This window comes from Homo sapiens, chromosome 4 (assembly GCF_000001405.40).
Source record: "Homo sapiens chromosome 4, GRCh38.p14 Primary Assembly".
Lineage (NCBI taxonomy): Eukaryota > Metazoa > Chordata > Mammalia > Primates > Hominidae > Homo > Homo sapiens.
In genome coordinates this window covers 119099356-119116769 of record NC_000004.12, presented here as the reverse complement: position 1 = coordinate 119116769, position 17414 = coordinate 119099356, and the positions used below count along the sequence as shown (strand labels likewise).

Sequence of the window (17414 nt, the reverse complement as noted above, 5' to 3'; positions counted from 1 at the left end):
TTCCAACAATTGTCAGAATGGATGAACTTTCAATGGCAGATTGATTGGCATCACTGTTAAGAGGCACGTGAAAACCCAAAGCTAGCACTTCGACTAAGTGACGCTGTTAGCCTCTGGGGTGTCATGCCACTCTGTAGGGCTTGCTTTTTCTCATCTCGAATTGCATTAGTTTATCAATTATATCTTCCCAAGTAATATGTATTATAGATGTTCTAGGATGTATTAATCTTTTTGATCCCTAGGTGTTGTCTGGGACTACTTGAGCTCCTGCTAGTCACTTTTTTGAGTTTCTAGCAGTCTCATGTCATTACCCCAATATGCCATACTAATATCATTTTTCCACATGTACTCTTATAAAAAAGATTAAGAAGAATGGTCTAGCAGATCTTTTAACAGTCTTTCTGTCTCTAAAGCTGTTCATTCTAAAGATTCTATTAATGCACTTTTCTTCTCTGGGCACTTACTCATTGAATGAGCATATTGTATCCAAGAGAGAAGCGGATGGATTTTAGAGTTGCTTTGAACTGAAATCTTCAAAAGGAGTCACATATCTTTGTTAATGGGAAAAATCTTAAGAATTTGGTTCAAAATGACTTGGTTAGAACTACTGACGCCATTCTAGGAAAACAGTTGTGATGATTGGGACCAGCCAAGGCCCTTTATGGCTCCAAATTATATTCGCTCATAACTACTTCCATTGTGTTAGTTTACCTCCTCACTTGTTTTCCATGAGCGCAATATTCTAGAGGCAACTTAGAGGTCAACTTACGTGCCACATGTCCTTTCCTTTCTTTTTTTGTTTATATTTAACAGTGTGCTTTTGTCTTGCTTTATGTTTTCCATCCCTCTGTTTCCCTGCTAGTTTGAACAACGTGAAGAAGCAGAGCTTGATTTTACTTCCCCAGGATGCATACCTATAGAACATATCAAAAACAATGATTGGCTTTGCTAATACCTGAAAGTATGGAGCCCAACATGCTCTACTTCTGATTGTTACTAGCATGATTCTGAGTCAGGCTTTAAGGAGAATGCTTAATGCTCAACAACCCAGAGTTCAGTCTGGCTCTGAAGTAGCATTGCTTAGGCTGGGATGTTGTGTGCTGCTCAAAAAGCAGATTTCTGTCTCCACCTGAGTCCTACTGAATCTGAATCTCTATGAGCAAGAGGTCAGGGGATCTGCAGTTTTACAAAACTGTAGTTGTAACTGTAGGGACTATTTCTCTGGAAATGCAAGAAAGAGCAATTAATTTGTCTGGAAAATAGGGAAAGGGTTTGAAGAAGACATTACAGAAGAGTTTTTGTTTTTGTTTAGTTTGTCTTTGAAGGATGAATCAAATAATTGGCTGATGGGGAAGACCGGGACAGGATATTTCAGTCCGAAGGAGGGGCATGAGTAGAGGTGCAAGAGTGAGGCTCCGTGGCGTATTTTGAGAGCTGTAAGTGGTCTAATGTGACTAGGTTGATGCCTGAAACAGGATGAGGGTGGAGATAGGAATCACAGAAGGCGGGTCTGAAAAGCAGATTAGGACTGAATTGGAAAAACTCTTGAGTGGTGAGGAATTGCATTTTATTTCATAGGCAATAAAAGCCATCAAAGATTCATGATTAAAATGTAGGAAGATTTTCATTTTATAATATAACTGTGGGCCAGGCGCGGTGGCTCACTCCTGTAATCCCAGCACTTTGGGAGGCCGAGGCGGGCGGATCACGAGGTCGGGAGATCGAGACCATCCTGGCTAACACGATGAAATCCCGTCTCTACTAAAAATACAAAAAATTAGCCTGGCATGGTGGCAGGCGCCTGTAGTCCCAGCTACTCGGGAGGCTGAGGCAGGAGAATGGCGTGAAGCCGGGAGACCGAGCTTGCAGTGAGCGGAGATCATGCCACTGCACTCCTGCCTGGGCGACAGAGCGAGACTCCATCTCGAAAAATAATAATAATAATAATAATAATAATATAACTGTGACAGCAATTCAGGGAATGAATTCAAGGGAAATGAAACTAGAGGCAATGGGACCACCTGAAGATTATTAGAATAGCATGGAAGAATGATTTTAACATGGTAGCTGGGGAAATGGAGGAAAAGGGGATAGATTTGGGATCATTCATTGACTCAACAAATATTTGTTACTGTTTCATACATACTGAGCCCTATGCTAGCTACTAGAAAATAAGAAAAACAAATCATGAACTTCCTAAGATGAATACAATTATGTAGTGTGTGTGTGTGTACGCATTCATACGTATGAGTACAAGAAATATTTTTTACATAATGGTGTTCTCTTTGTGGAAGAAATAAATAATTTTGCTTTTCTTTATTAGACATTATTACTTTTTAAAAGTGTCTTTAAATAAATAGAATATGTTTTTAAATTTTTATAATTAAAAAATTTATATGATTTTTCCTCCAGGACCCTAGCTAGAAGACAGATTAATAGTTCTTGATTTAACCACTCTGTTACGTAGCTGTTCAATAATTTATTACATGTTCAAGGTCAAACTGATTATTTCACTCTTTTCTAAACTTTCCCTTATTCTTCATCTTTTATTTGAATGTTTCATAGCTACCCCTCCAACCACATCTAAGCAGTCACCAAGCCTTATTGATTTTTTTTAGCTCTTTATCTCTTTCATGAGGTTCATACTCATGTATACATCGGCATGAACTCTTAATCTAGATTACCTGGGCTCAAATCCCAGCTTTCACATTTGCTGAGTGCATCCCCACGAGCAAATTATTAAACATCTATGATTCTCAGTTTTCTCATCTGTATAATAGAATTAATATCAGTTCTTGACCCATAGGGTTGTTGTGAGGATTAAATGAGATAGTTTATGAAGGACACTAAAAGTAATACCCAGAGAGTAATTAGTGTTAGTTATTATTTGGATTATTTAGGAAAAAGAAAGGATTTTAGTCTTAAAAGATAAAAAATGTAACTTCATGAAACCCTTAAGAAGAAAAAAAAATGTCTTTGTTGCTTAGTTACCATAGAGAAGGTAACTTTTTACTGTGTTTTGATACAGGGATAAAAATGGTGCAAAACAATTAGAGTTTTCAATAAGAAGCATAACTAATATCCCAGTCATGTCTTCAGAATTTAGCTGACAGTTGTTGAAACACAGGTTGATAAGATAAAGAGCAAACCTAAGATGTTTCTTAAGACAGGGCTCTATTGTGTCCATGAGGACCATGAGGCTATTTTGCTCTTTTCCAGGCATAATAAATTATTTTGGATCTCTGGACTAGGAACTATGAGGACACATTCTCATTTAATGTCTTTAACCACTGCTTCCATTTTCTTATGACTAAGCATTGTGAAATCAAAAAGTTAACCACCTACAGGAAGTAGAAGCCTGGAATATGGAGTTTGGCTACATCCTCTCACTTGCTAGTGAGTCATATTGTTTATATCCTTTTTCTTTCTTGAGAACAATTGCAAAAAAAAAAGGTAGTTAGGATTTCCAGGTTTTTGTGATCTTTTCTTTTTGGATAGAATATATAAGTGGATTTAAGAGAAACAGGTGACTACATCCCCCCCACTGTCCCCACTGAGAGAGTAAATGTATCACATGGTCTGATATGTAAATCTAACTCCTCTGGTGATAAAGATGCCAGCTGATTCACATATCTTTTCAGATTCTTATTATTCTTAGAAAAACTAATTTTTCAGTATTTACTGTACAACAGTCCTTGTTCCAGGTACCTTACAGATTTTAATGTATTTAATATGCACAACAGTCCGATTAGTCCTAACAGGAGGTACTAGTATTATATACCCTTTTATAGATTAAGAAACTGAGAAGTAGACTAAGAGGTTTGCCCTAGTAAGCAGCAGTTTGACTCAAAAGTCCATGAGCTTAACCTGCTTTAGTGTATGCTGGTTACTTTAAAAGAATTGATAAAATAGTATATTGTGATAATTAAGCATATGTATGTGTTTTAAAATAGCTTGAAAAAAATATGAATAAAATATAGTAAGTGCCTCATTACATGTCTTTAGTAAAGAGTGTACAAAAACATTATACTTTTTAAAAGCACTTTATATATGTTATCTCATTTGATACTCATGAAAACCTTACAAGTAAAGCAAGGAAAAATCCTTTTGTCCCCATTTTAAAATGAGAAAATTAGATTCAACAAGATTAAATTACTAGTTTAAGTTTGCAGAGTAAAGTCGGGATAAAAATCTAGATCTGTCCAGTGTTCTTTCCATAAGACCATCTTCCTACTTCTATAAATAGTAACTCTACAGTGCCTTCACAGGGTAGAGGAGGCAAGAAACGAAATGTGACATTTTTAAAAAAGAGTTTTTACTGAATCATGGAAAAGTGCAAACTAAGGTGGACACTTACTATTCGTATTGTATATGATCCCAAACCTGACTTTTGAGAGAGGAGTTGTTGGATCATTTGATTTTATTTTTAGGTGGGAACTAAAAGATCCAGTCTTACCTGTTACTGTTGTTGTTGTTAATTTTCTTGAATAAATTTAAATGTAATTCAGAGAAGAATAGAAAATTGTGTTTGATTTTATTAGGGGCCTTTCCAGAAACTGACCCCTAGTTGTTTGTATCTGTTATTATTCAATGAGACTAGTTTTAATTTTCATAATACTATAACTGCTTGTGATAATATCATAAACTAGGACAATTTATCCCTTCTGCTTTGTTTTTTCCAAATTCACAATATCTTTTAGAAGTTCATCACTTTGCTCTGCTACACATGGTGTACTAATCAAATTCTAGATTTACTCTATTCCAGAACCAGGCTTTCCAAGTTGCTATTTAGGTTCAGTGGGCCACGTTCCCTCTAGGCATGGTGCTTTTCCATAGGTTACTCTGAATGAGAGGACAATAGATATGTTCGAGGTTGTTTTAGAAATCTGAAAAATAAGTATCGGAGAAAATGCATAAATGAGATATACAGAAAGGCAAACAAGTGAAGGTGGGGACTGGAGAGTAGATACAAAACTAGAACTATTTTGCTGATTTTCTCTTTCTGAAGAAAGTCAAATCATTACACTCTCACAGGGCTTGAAAACATGGCTCTGGCTGGCAACCAGGGGTAGACACACTGTGAAAACATTTGCTGCTCTTTATTCTTGAGTTGAATTTTGCCTACAGTGAAGCAGACCACAAAATGAAGGGAAGGTTGGTTCATGAAATTACATAAACTTGGTCTATTTATTTTTTACCTTAATTATCTTGGAGCTATTCCAAGCATAATGAGAACCTCAATGGTCTTATAGAAAATAAAGTTTGGGCCTTGAGTTTGGGACCACATTCATTCATGTGGTAAGAGGTGGGCACTGGAGCATAAAGGTGACAGTGGATTTTCTGGTTGGTGTTATGGTCCCATGTACACAATCACCCTGTAAAATCCTTCACTTTGTAAAGTGAATGGGCCAATCCTCTTTTTCACATGTGCTTCTCAGCATGCTGCCTTTTGTAAATTTTTTGGTTATTCTAATGGCTTTCTTTGATATTTACTATATCTCCTATACAAAAATTGTGGTTGTTAAGGAGGGGGAGAGAAGAGGACTTTTAGCTGAGTGTGATGGGAAACTCAATCTTCCTAATCCGTATCCTCCCATTAGTAGTCCTATGTATGTCTTCCTTAAAACCAAGGAAATTCTCCATTTTCCCATATTTTATTTAATTTTCTCTTTCTTCTCTGTGTTTTTATAGCTCTTAATTCATACTTCTGATGTGGAATTTGGTATCTAATATATGTTTTATGTCTCTACTGCTTGATAATCAGTACTGTATTATATTCATCTTTTTCTTTTTGTCTAATGCCTAACAAAATCCCTCCTTGTATACAGTAGATATCCAATCAGTGTAAAATGAATTAATGAGATCACTATTTCCATATATTTTTCTTTACCTCTTTTTACAATGTACTTTTTTTATATGTTACTTTTTTAATTAAAAAATGAGATCAAAGGCCGGGCGCGGTGGCTCACGCCTGTAATCCCAGCACTTTGGGAGGCTGAGGCGGGCGGATCACGAGGTCAGGAGATTGAGACCATCCTGGCTAACACAGTGAAACCCCGTCTCTACTAAAAATACAAAAAAAAAAAAAAAAAAAAATTAGCAGGGTGTGGTGGTGGGCGCCTGTAGTCCCAGCTACTAAGGAGGCTGAGGCAGGAGAATGGCGTGAACCCGGGAGGCGGAGCTTGCAGTGAGCCGAGATCGCGCCACTGCACTCCAGCCTGGGCCACAAAGCGAGACTCCGTCTCAAAAAAAAAAAACCGAGATCATATTATTTGAAGAAGAATGTGCTAATTTCTGGATAATTCCTTTTTTGACAATGGGTATAGTAATCAACTATGAGCAAGCTCCTGAGAGACTTTTAAAACCATGCCAGAAGCAGATAATAATGAGCCTCAGATGCGCATCTGGAAGGAAGCTGATATTTATTGGTCATCATTCTCAGTGGTAAGCTCTGGCTAGATCCAGAAACCCTGTCCTTGACTGGTATGTTGGTTAACCTCTATGCAGTGGCTAGTGGGTAGGGTTGGTTATTTATGATGATGATAATGATGATGATGATGGTGATAGTTATGGACATGCTGGACACTATGCTTTCCACATGCTTTGTTTCTTCTAATTGTGTGGTGTAGGCACAGAGAAGGTAAGTGACTTTCCCAAGGTCACACAGCAAGGAGAGGGAGTCTGGCATTCAAACCTCCACAGTTTGACTCTATCCCTCACTCTTAACCACAACATATTCTGTTATTATCAAGTTGTTTCCCTTTCTGGAAAAATTAATGAGTTGACGTGTTAAACATGAAATTGAACTTTTTCATGGAAATAAGATTAGTATGAGGGTTATTTTATATGTATTTTTAATGACCCTTTGCCTAACTTTTAGTAGGAGTGACCACTAACAACATATTTAACCTATTGATTAGTATATAAAGCAAGTACGAGTAAATGAAGTAAGCGGGGCAACACAGTAATGAACCATTTTAAATTATAAGAAACATACTCTATTTTATTATACTATTTGAAAGTTCCTGTCTTCTTATTCTGTGCCTTAATTTTCTACAAATCAGAGTAGGAGGTAACAGTTGTTATCAGGAATATGGAATTCATAAATGTTTTTAGGAGGATATTTATAGGCATTCATCTGGAGAATTTTGTGAAAGATTGGATCACTTCACAGCTTTGTGTAATGTCCCTTTTCTTACAATAAACCTTCCTATACAAAGAACAAATAGAGAAGATCAAACTCTTGATCATTATGTTATCTTTCAAAATGAAGGTCTTTCTATGCTCAATCTGCTATTTCATTATCGCTCATAACTTTATCTTAGACCCCTAGCTGAATTTTTAATCATTTGATTCTTTACCACAATTTCACCATGTAGTATATTTTTGACCCTTAAAGTTTTATTGTTAATGGCATTCAAACTCAAAAACACAATTCAGGTTGATTCTGTATCCAGATACCTAAAGCCTCTGATCTTGCTCTCAAATCCTACATTTTGCTTTCTAATTGCTTATAATAGTGGTTCTCAGTTAATCAGGAGTAATTTTGCCCCCCAACGGACATTTGACAATGTCTGGAGACATTTTTGGTTGTTACAACCTGAGGAGTATGGTGCTACTGGCATCTAGTGAATAGAGACTAGAGATGCTACATGCACAGGACAGCTCCCCACAACCCACCCTGGCTTCCCCATTATCCCTTACAAAATGTCAATGGTGCTGAGGTGGAGAAACTATGGTTTATAAAAACCTTTACTGGGAACATTGCTTTGTTACCTTCTCAACTACTACAGAGAATTTTTAGGTACTATATGAAAAGTTAATAGGTCTGATTTATAAGGAACTTATACATTCAAATAACAGTTGTGTTTCAAAGCCAGAGACAGAGGGAGGGAATGGGATCCAGAACTAAGGTTGGGAGCTTAATTTTTTTCCAGCAGAGGAGAGACATTTTCCATAATGAAAATAGGAAATAAGGACACAATAGGTATAGGGGCAGATAATTTTGAAGATGTACAGATATAAATTTGAGGATGTTTGTACCTAATGTCTTCTATTTATTCTACATGATGGAAGTTGAGATCATCTCTTGAGAGAGAGGTGGCAGTGGTGACCCAGGAGGCTTAGGAATAATGGACATTGAAATGGCCACTGTAGACAATGGGTGGGGCTGTGTTGATGTTCAATGGGTAGAGGCATCATGGTTCAGGTGGCTCATAACACTTATGCTAGACACAGCCCCTAGGAGAAGGAGACTATCAAGAAATAAGCAAAAGCTCTTTTCTTGCCAAGTGGATTAGGGTGCAGAATTGTAGCTGTAAACAAACGCTTAAAGAACTAGTAGAAAATTTCAGAAAGGCCCAGTTATAATGGCTGGACAAGAACAGTGGAGGTTAATGGAAGCTATTATAACCTGATGGGCCTGGGAGAGCCCAAACTTATGGTATATGACTGGTTCCTAATCCCATCTGCAGATGGAATTGGGAATCTTATTCATTCATTCATGTTTCAAGTATCAACTTCTACAACTACTAGAATAAAGCCTGATATATTGTGGATGCCCAATAAATATTCGTTGATTAATAAATAGTACGCACATTGTTAGGCACTGAAGATACATACATGCTGAAGAAAATAGACAAGGGACAAGCCCAGTGTACTTTGAGACCCAAAGGAGGATCATCTGACCAGGCTTGAGAGTTCATAGAGGCCATCCCAGGGGAGATGAGATTGGAGTTTGTGTTTAGTGTGCCAAGGATGAGGCAGGGTTGCTTTATTTTCTTAAGAATAGCTTCAGGTGGGATAAAGTAGGTGGGATTGACACTGAGAAATTCAGTGTCAACCCTGACCTTCTCCCACCAGAGAAAAGTTGCTTGAGGCAGGGAAATACAACAGAAGCTAGTAGTTTAAGGAGGCCTTACACACATGGAGAGCTACCTGCCTGCTTTATGAACTGCATCGAATACCACATATTTCAATTCCAAAGTCAAATGCTATGGAATTAAGAACAGTCAATTAATTCAAGAAATAGTGAAAGTCCTGAATTTGGGGATGGAAGAGAAGGATTTTTCACTTGGTGTCATTACTTGAGTGATGTCACTAACCACTGTAGGTGAGCTGCTAAATATTTCCACCTTCGTTTCCTTTTCAACAGCATGGAATTTGTGTTGCCAGCCTCCCACATAGGTAAATCAGTATTAAGGAAAGGAATGCTTCGAGTAAGGAACACAAAGTAAAATTTACTTTCCTATTCTAGATAAGTATTCAGCTACATTCTCTGGAAAACACATTTCTTTGGAATAGTTCATAATTTAGATATCACATTATGGAGTAGAAATGGCTGTTTTTCTGATGAGATAGAATAAACTCTTGCTCTTTTAGGCTTGATATTTTAAATTGCTAGACCTAATTATTGCTAACATATCGTTTTACATTTGATCTGGTATATTTGCTACAAATAACCTGCTAATTATTAGAACCTTTCCCAAAGAATTATTAACTGATAAATTCACTGGCCAGCATCTAATGCTTAAAATGAGGCTGAGGGAAAGGCAGTTCTTCACTGGCTCACACCAGATTCCAGAAATATATCTGAATCTAATCTGAGGAAAAAACTGAAAATGTATTCGTTTGTAAGCATTTTGTGTTTTTAAGGTACTTTATCATGTATTAATTTAATAACTCCTCACAATAATTCTGAGTTAAATATTACAATTTACCAATTGTATACTTTAGGAAACTAAGGAGGTTAAAGTAACTTGGCCTCAGGCCAGCAGCTACTATAGCAGAGTCAAATCACCGGGGCTGCCTTGCTCACAGAAATATTATCTGTGATAACCCCTTTGTTGTAGGAAACTGCTCCCCAATCCCAACCTCCAGCATTTGGACTGACTGGAAACCGCCTCATGTTATGTGACCTTAATCTCCTGGGCTACACTGACTGACCTCAGAGTGGCCATCTGACAGAAGCTGGACTAATTACGGCAACCCTCCTGACCCAGGACTTGAATGCAAGAGGAGAGTCTAGTCATTTGGAATCTTTCCTCATGTTTTCACTAGGAGGAGAAGGATGGAGGACTTTGATGTAGGGAGAGACTCCTCTTTGCTGGTTGGGAAGTTGTTCACAGGGGAGGCAGGGGCCACTGAAAGTTGTTGTGATAGGTACCTTGAGAACTCTGGTCCTAGAGAAGGAAGCTGACATACGGACAAAAATGGCAATGAAAGAGAGGAACCCAGCAGCATTCCTACCCTGGGGCCAGTTGTCCTTGGTGACAACTGTATTTTTGTCCTTCTGCCAGTTTGCTTTCCTGAGCCAATAAATGTCTCATTTTCCTATGCCTAGGCTAGTTCTGGTTGGATTTCTGCAACTTCCTTCAGGAGTCATGACTAACACAACTGGAAAGAGGCAGAAACTGAATTCAAGTGAATTCTCTTACCTGAGTTTCCATGCTATTTCCACCAAAGCACAATTTCCATCACACCTCTACTCTGGGGGCCTCAGGTCCTACTGGAATCAACATGTCATGGTCATTTATACTGACAAGACCAGATCAGTTGTGCCAGCTGCAAATTTCTGGCTTTCCCTCTTGGCTCTCATGATTTATGCTTCCTGATTATTCTAGACCAGTATTTCTGGTTAAAAAAAATAAAATTAAAAAGGGCAAATGTCCAGGTAGACTCAGGATTAGCTAAGTTTGGAATTAAGTTGCTCAGATTTGAACATTTGGAATTTGTTTTTTATCTGCTTTTAGATCTCAGATACCAGCTTTTCTTTCTTTGAGTAATCAAAGCAAAATAAGTGAAAATATGAAGGATTTTTTTTCAAACATGGATTTTGATGGTCTCATAGAAGAGCTAATTTTAGAAATATAGCCAGTTCACTTTGGTTTAACTACATCCTTTGCTCACTTTATGCACTAGAATAAGATGACCCCTTCTTCCTGAATGACAGGAAATGGTTTTTCATTTTTCTGAATACACACATAAGCTACTATTGCATAATCTATTCCAACCTCTTTCAAAATCTTTCTCTAATTCATCTATTTGTTTCATAGAACATTTTGGTTATTTCAATATTATAGAATCCTTGACCTTAACTCTTTATTCCTAAATAACAGTATTTAAGAGTAGATTTCCACTGCGAAAGTATTTGTGTGTTTATATACGTGCAATGTGTATATTATATGTAATTTAATATAAACTTTGTCTTTAATAAGTTGTGAGGCTTTTTGCATAGAAATAAGACACTGAATTAAATGACTTTCTTCAAGCTGGGTAATTCTGATTATCTTCTTCATAACAACTTTGTAATTGATAAGTTTTTAACTCTATTCAAATTGAAAGTGAAGAAATTCATTTATAAGAGGTTATATAATGCACTCAACAGTTGCATATCATTATCATATTATTAGGATATATAATTTATGACAAGCAATATTTCTGCATAGTTATTCTTGGCCATTTGGCTATGGCCATTTTCATTGAACAAACTGGCAAAACAGCAATAAAAATAATGACAGCAACAAACACCCATTTGATGTAAATATTCAGTAAAGAATAGTAAAGACAAAACCAACCTGAGATCCGTAAATTCAGTTAAGAAAGTGACAAGGTTATAGTGAAGATATGTAAAAGGGCAAGTCAAATTCTGCTTGTGTGCTCACAGACCTGTAATGCTGTGTGACGGGATTCAGTGCCAAGCCAGTTTTAGCAGTCTTTCTTTTTTTCCTTACCATGTTCACAGCCTCGATCGCTACCAACAGAGGTAATACAAGGCAATAGAGGCAAGAGGCACAACCAATAAAAGGGTAGTAGGCCCTTGGTTGGGTTTTCAAGTTACATATCTGCTCTGGTTTATGGGCTTTCTATGAGTATATGCTATTTCTTTTTCTTTGCCAAGTCACCTGTTTCTCAAGTCTTGGCTTAGGACATGTGGTAGGCAGGGAAGCATGCCACTGGCTCACAGGGAACTGTGTTTGTTACCCTTGTTCTCTGTTATTTTTACTGTATAAAGCATAAAGAACCCTGCAATTATGATGCTTAATCATTTATACTCTAGGGCTGAGGAAGGGAAGGATTATTCCCTCTGTTTTTTTATTACTATTTTTCCTATGGTCTTTCTACTTTGCTAAACAGTTAGATTTCAAGATACTACTTAACAAAGCAATGATCTACATGTTGATGTCTGACATGCAAATAATCCCCAAGAATAACTGGAAGTTTTAAGTAATATTTGAAATATTAAATTACTTAAATATCTGAAATAACACAGAGATAAGAAATAGAATTTGTTGTAGAAGTCACATTGGTCACCAAAGAGAAGCAAAACATTGTGTGTAATGTCTGCTCTAAACCTGGTGGATGATTTTGAAGAATTTGAGAAATTACTTCTTTCTAAAGAAGAACTTAATAAAGGCTCTGAATAGCTGAAAACTAAATGAATAAAATTAAACTACTGTATTACACAGGTCAACTTTTTCCTCACTTATAAAACCCAATTATTAATTATGCATCAGACTGCATTAATTGCTACATATATACCTTATGCATAACTTTTATATGTATATTTTTTCTTGCTTAATGTTCACAGCAATATGCATGGATCAGGCATTACTATCCACATTTTGCAAATGAAAAGTCTAAAACTTAGAGCAATTAAGAAGCTTTCCCTCAACCTAGAGCTAGTAAACAGACCCAAGATTTGAAGCTAGGTGTGTTGGCTAAATCTACATACCTAACCCCCATATTATAGTTTTTCCTTTGTGGGTTTTTTTGAAAAAAAAAAATTTAATCTGCATTTTATATTGTACAAAAGTGAACTGGCTAAAGCCTTCATTCTTTCTAATTACTATTTGCTTCTGAACTAAAGCTATAAACTTTTATTATATTTGGTGAGCATTTTTGAATTAAACTAGAAGATTAGGATACAAGTTCATGGACACACAGTATAAAACACTTTTTAAAAGACACTGGCACACTCGTTCTCACCTAGACAACAGATCATAGTTTGAAAATCTGTTTTTGTGAAAAAAGCTGAACCCTAGCTCTTGAATTAGCTATCCCAGTACCCATGTTGAAATAGCTCAAAAACATTCCTAGGAAAAATACTCCTAACTTAGTGGGAGTGGTTTTATAATAAAGGGTGAATTACTTTTGCTTTATGGATCATTCCTTTTTTTTTTTTTCCTTAGTCATCTGTTACTCTTAGCTGCTGGTAATGGAGAGGAAATGGTCTTACATCATTTTTCAAGCATGTTTAGTATTAGGTCATTGTTAGTGGATGGAAGGAAGTTGAATGCTTGGAATTTAAGTGACTTACTCAAGATTACAACAGTGAGTCATTTACTCAGCCAAAAAGAGAGCAAGGAACTTCCTGGATACAAGTGTGGTGTGCGCTGGCAGCTCCATCTGCCCCTTCTTTATTGATGCCTTTTCAAAACTATGGGCTTTTTGTGAAGGCCAGATGGGTTTGCCCTTGAGTGTGACCACCACTCTGCTCCGAGATACATCAACTTGAATGAGGATTTGTTTTGATGGTTGGCATATAAGCCTCAGAGTTTTATTTTGAGATGTTAAATCTAAAAGCGAAGATTACATGTTGATTGCTAATTTCTTTGAACAAATTTTGCCCTAAGAGTTTATTGTAAAAATTAACTGGGCATGGTGGTGGGCGCCTGTAATCCCAGCTACTCAGGAGGCTGAGGCAGGAGAATCGCTTGAACCTGGGAGGCGGAGGTTGCAGTGAGCCGAGATTGCGCCACTGCACTCCAGCCTGGGTGGCAGAGCCAGACTCCATCTCAAAAAACAAACAAAGTTTATTGTTCCTGAAGGACGAAGTCTTTGAACTTCAGGTAGTCATGAGTTGAGGTGTGGGTATAAGGAATGGGGACAATGTGCCCCACTGCCCTCTTGTTTTGAAACATAGCTTACAACCATTACCCATTCACTTGGTATAATGTAGTATTTCAGGATAGGCACGGTTAGTTCTGACTCACACAGGTATCACTGTTGTCTGGACATGAATGATTTCTAGAGTTCATTTCTCATGAAACATGTTTTTATTTGCAGGGCTTTAGAGCTTTGAAATTAATTCTACATTATACATTGATGATTCTTTTGTCAACTTTGTTTTTCTCTGTCTATTCCTAATTCTATCTACCATATAATTTCTGTATAGTAGTTGTTTCCATCACAATTTTTTTCTGTGAGCTGTGATTACATAAAATTAGCCTTGTTGACTTATACTTTGATATCTTTCTTGAGACAAGCCAGCGATGACCCCAGTTGGACTGGAACAACAGACCACTTTGTTGGTGTCTTTTAATACAGCCAATACTAATAGGAAGCTTTATCTTTCTTAAGTATCTTCTTTCGCTTCCCCTTCACAGAACCTTACAGGGGCCCCATGGATCAGCAATATTGCTTATTAAATATAATTTCAACTTTTAATAAGATTTTCTAAATTCTTCTGATCACTTCCTACTTTCCTTACATAATGACAGTCATTGCACATCAGAATACAGGCCCTCAGTCCAGCAATGTGATTTTCGTTCTTATGCTCAGGTCATATGATATTCGTCAAAGTGGTTGCTCCCTCTACTAGTCACTCTTGGAATGTACTCCCACCCCCACTCCAATGACATCTCTCACCTCCTCTAAAAATCATTTTCTGCTGTGGTGTTCTTATCTGCCCATGATAGTTATTATATTTATTGTCTTCAGAGAGTAGAAAACAGAAAAAGACCAAGAGGGTAACTGTAGTCAGTTTAATTCTGTCTCATCATCACTTCCCGTCAGCAATCCACATTCCCCCAACCATACATGACAACTTACTTGCATCTGTAACTTTATGTTTTGCCCTCTTTCCTATTACAAGAGGTGAATTGTCCATTTTTTTTTCTTTTTTTTGAGACAGGGTCTCACTCTGTCACCCAGGCAGGAATGAAATGGCACAATTACGGCTCACTGCAGCCACTATCTCCTGGGCTCAAGTGATCCTCCCACCTCAGCCTCCTAAGTAGCTGGGACTACAGGCATGTGCCACCATGCCTGGCTAATTTTTGTATTTTTTGTAGAGACAGAGTCTCCCTATGTTGCCCAGGCTGGTCTCAAACTCCTGGGTTCAAGAAGTCTGGCCACCTAGGCCTTCCAAAGCGCCAGGATTATAGGTGTGAGCCACTGCTCTAGGTCCATGGACTTTCTTCCTGCAGTTATCCTCTCTTTTTCTCCATTGCTGTTGTTTTTTCCTTCCTTTCTTCCTTCCTTCCTTCTTTTTTTTCTTTCTTTTCTTTTCTTTCTTTCTCTTTCTTTCTTTCTTTCTTTCTTTCTTTCTTTCTTTCTTTCCTCTCTCTCTCTTTCTTTCTTTCTTTTCTTTCTTTCTTCCTGATGGAGTCTCGCTGTGTAGCCCTGGCTGCAACCTCCGCCTACTGGGTAAGTGATTCTCCTGTCTCAAACCCCCGAGTAGCTGAGACTACAGGCGCCCACCACCATGCCGGGCTAATTTGTGTATTTTTAGTAGTAGAGACAGGGATTTCACCATGTTAGCCAGGCTGGTCTTGAACTCCTGACCTCAGGTGATCCGCCTGCCTCGTCCTCCCAAAGTGTTAGGATTACAGGCATGAACCACTGCACCCAGCCCTGTTTTCTACTGGAGTTTTTCCATCATCATAGAAACATGCTATGCTTTTTTTCTCACATCAAACAAAAGCAAAATACCTTGCAAATAGAGACAAGCACAATAAAACACCTTCTGTGGTCCTTTTCTTTGCTCCCTTTTAACATAAAAATTTGTCTACACTTGCTTTCTTCAGTTTCTCTGTACTGCTCCATGGAAACTGTTTATTGTCATGGTCACTAAGTTGCTTAAGCAAGAATCTTTGAAGTCATCCTGGACTTCCTTCTTTCCTTTGCACTCCACAAACTATGGCTTACAGGACAAATTGGCCTGTCATGTGTTTCAGTAAATAAAGTTTTATTGGAACACAGTCATGGCCACATGTTTGTCTTTCTGTGACAACTTTTGCATTACAATGGCAGAGTTCAGACGTCCTAATGGGGACTGCATGGCCCTCAAAGCCTAAAATACTTACTATTTGGCTTGTTATAGAAAAAGTTGGCCAGCCCCTACACTAAAATATAAATCTTACAAAGGAAAGTGCTTTGTTTTGTTCCCTGCTATATCTCCAGTGCCTAGAAGAATACCTGGCACTTAGCAAAGCTTAACAAATACTTGCGGCAGAAAGGAAAAAAGAAAGAATGAATAAGTAGTCTACGTCACCATCTTGTTCTTTACTCTCTCTTATTCAATCTTTGTCGGTTCTCATTGTCCTTTCTCCATTTTCCATAAACTCTCTCCTCGGATTTGTTTCTTCCATTAAGCTTTTTCTTCATGCTCATCAAATTTCCAACAGGAGGAAAAGTCCTAAAAATTGCTAAACAAATTTTGGAAATACGAAGCTTAAGTTAGAGAAATTTTTCCTTTGGCAATAGTATTAAAAATGTGTTCATCAATGGGAACACATGGACATAGGGAGGGGAACATCACACACAGGGGCCTGTCGGGGGAGGGGGCTAGGGGAGGGATAGCATTAGGAGAAATACCTAATGTAGATGATGGGTTGATGGGTGCAGCAAACCACCATGGCGCGTGTATACCTGTGTAACAGACCTGCACGTTCTGCACATGTATCCCAGAACTTAAAGCATGATTTTTAAAGAAGTGTTCATTTTTTCTTTGCTAGTGTCTGCATTGTTGAGTTCATTTTGGAGAGAAGACTGTCAAGAGAGAAATGATATTTCTTTTAATAGGTACTCTTGGCAATTTTTGCTAATAATTTTAACATTTCTTTTACCACATGAAGTTTGATTTCTATAGAGTAATCCCCTTTTATGTTGTGTTGATGGGCATTTTTTATTATTGATATATAATATGTTTACCCTGTCTTCAGTTTTTGCTCATGAGACTTTATCCAAAAACTAAACTCAACTGGCACATGCAGTTCTTTTGATTTCACAACTTACCCATGCCGGAGATACTTCCCATACTAACTTTGATCTCTTGCAGATGTGAAACAAAACCCTATACTAGATAAGTGAACTTTCAGTGTCCTTACTTAAAACAAAAGAAAATAAATAAAAATCTCATCTGGATCTGATTATTCCCAGGTGACTAAAAATTCTGTGAACCTGTGGAGACTGGAATGTACTGGCAAGAGAGAGCCTGGGTTATCTATTGGAATCTTGGATTCTGTTTTTAAAATAGGAGGTTAAAGCTCTAATGTGTCCAAAAATAATCTCAAGTGTGGGTTATTACTGCTCCCTTTGAGGGAAATTCAAAATTGCATAATATCAGATAAAAATAAAAACATGTGGCTCTGAATAAACAGTTATTCCTGTGCTATTAGTGGATGCATCAA

General features: G+C 37.5%; 1 long non-coding RNA gene across 1 annotated transcript in view, besides 1 other annotated feature; it reads right to left on the bottom strand.

Moving 5' to 3' along the window:
- Positions 1–16638, bottom strand: part of LOC102723967 (uncharacterized) — a 33423-nt gene extending 16785 nt beyond the window's left edge. Inside the window, exons 1-2 of the long non-coding RNA XR_001741422.1 lie at positions 16600–16638; positions 16277–16430 (exon numbers count right to left, since the gene is read on the bottom strand). This is a non-coding gene — a long non-coding RNA (uncharacterized LOC102723967). The remainder of the gene's footprint in view (positions 1–16276; positions 16431–16599) is intronic.
- Positions 13142–13436: an enhancer, noted in NCBI's record as "tiled region #3409; HepG2 Activating DNase matched - State 9:DNaseU, and K562 Activating non-DNase unmatched - State 24:Quies". NCBI's record gives its function as "activates a minimal TATA promoter and a strong SV40 promoter by Sharpr-MPRA in HepG2 and K562 cells {active_cell/tissue: HepG2 | K562}" and the evidence as "EXISTENCE:reporter gene assay evidence [ECO:0000049][PMID:27701403]".
- Positions 16639–17414: the final 776 nt, after the last annotated feature.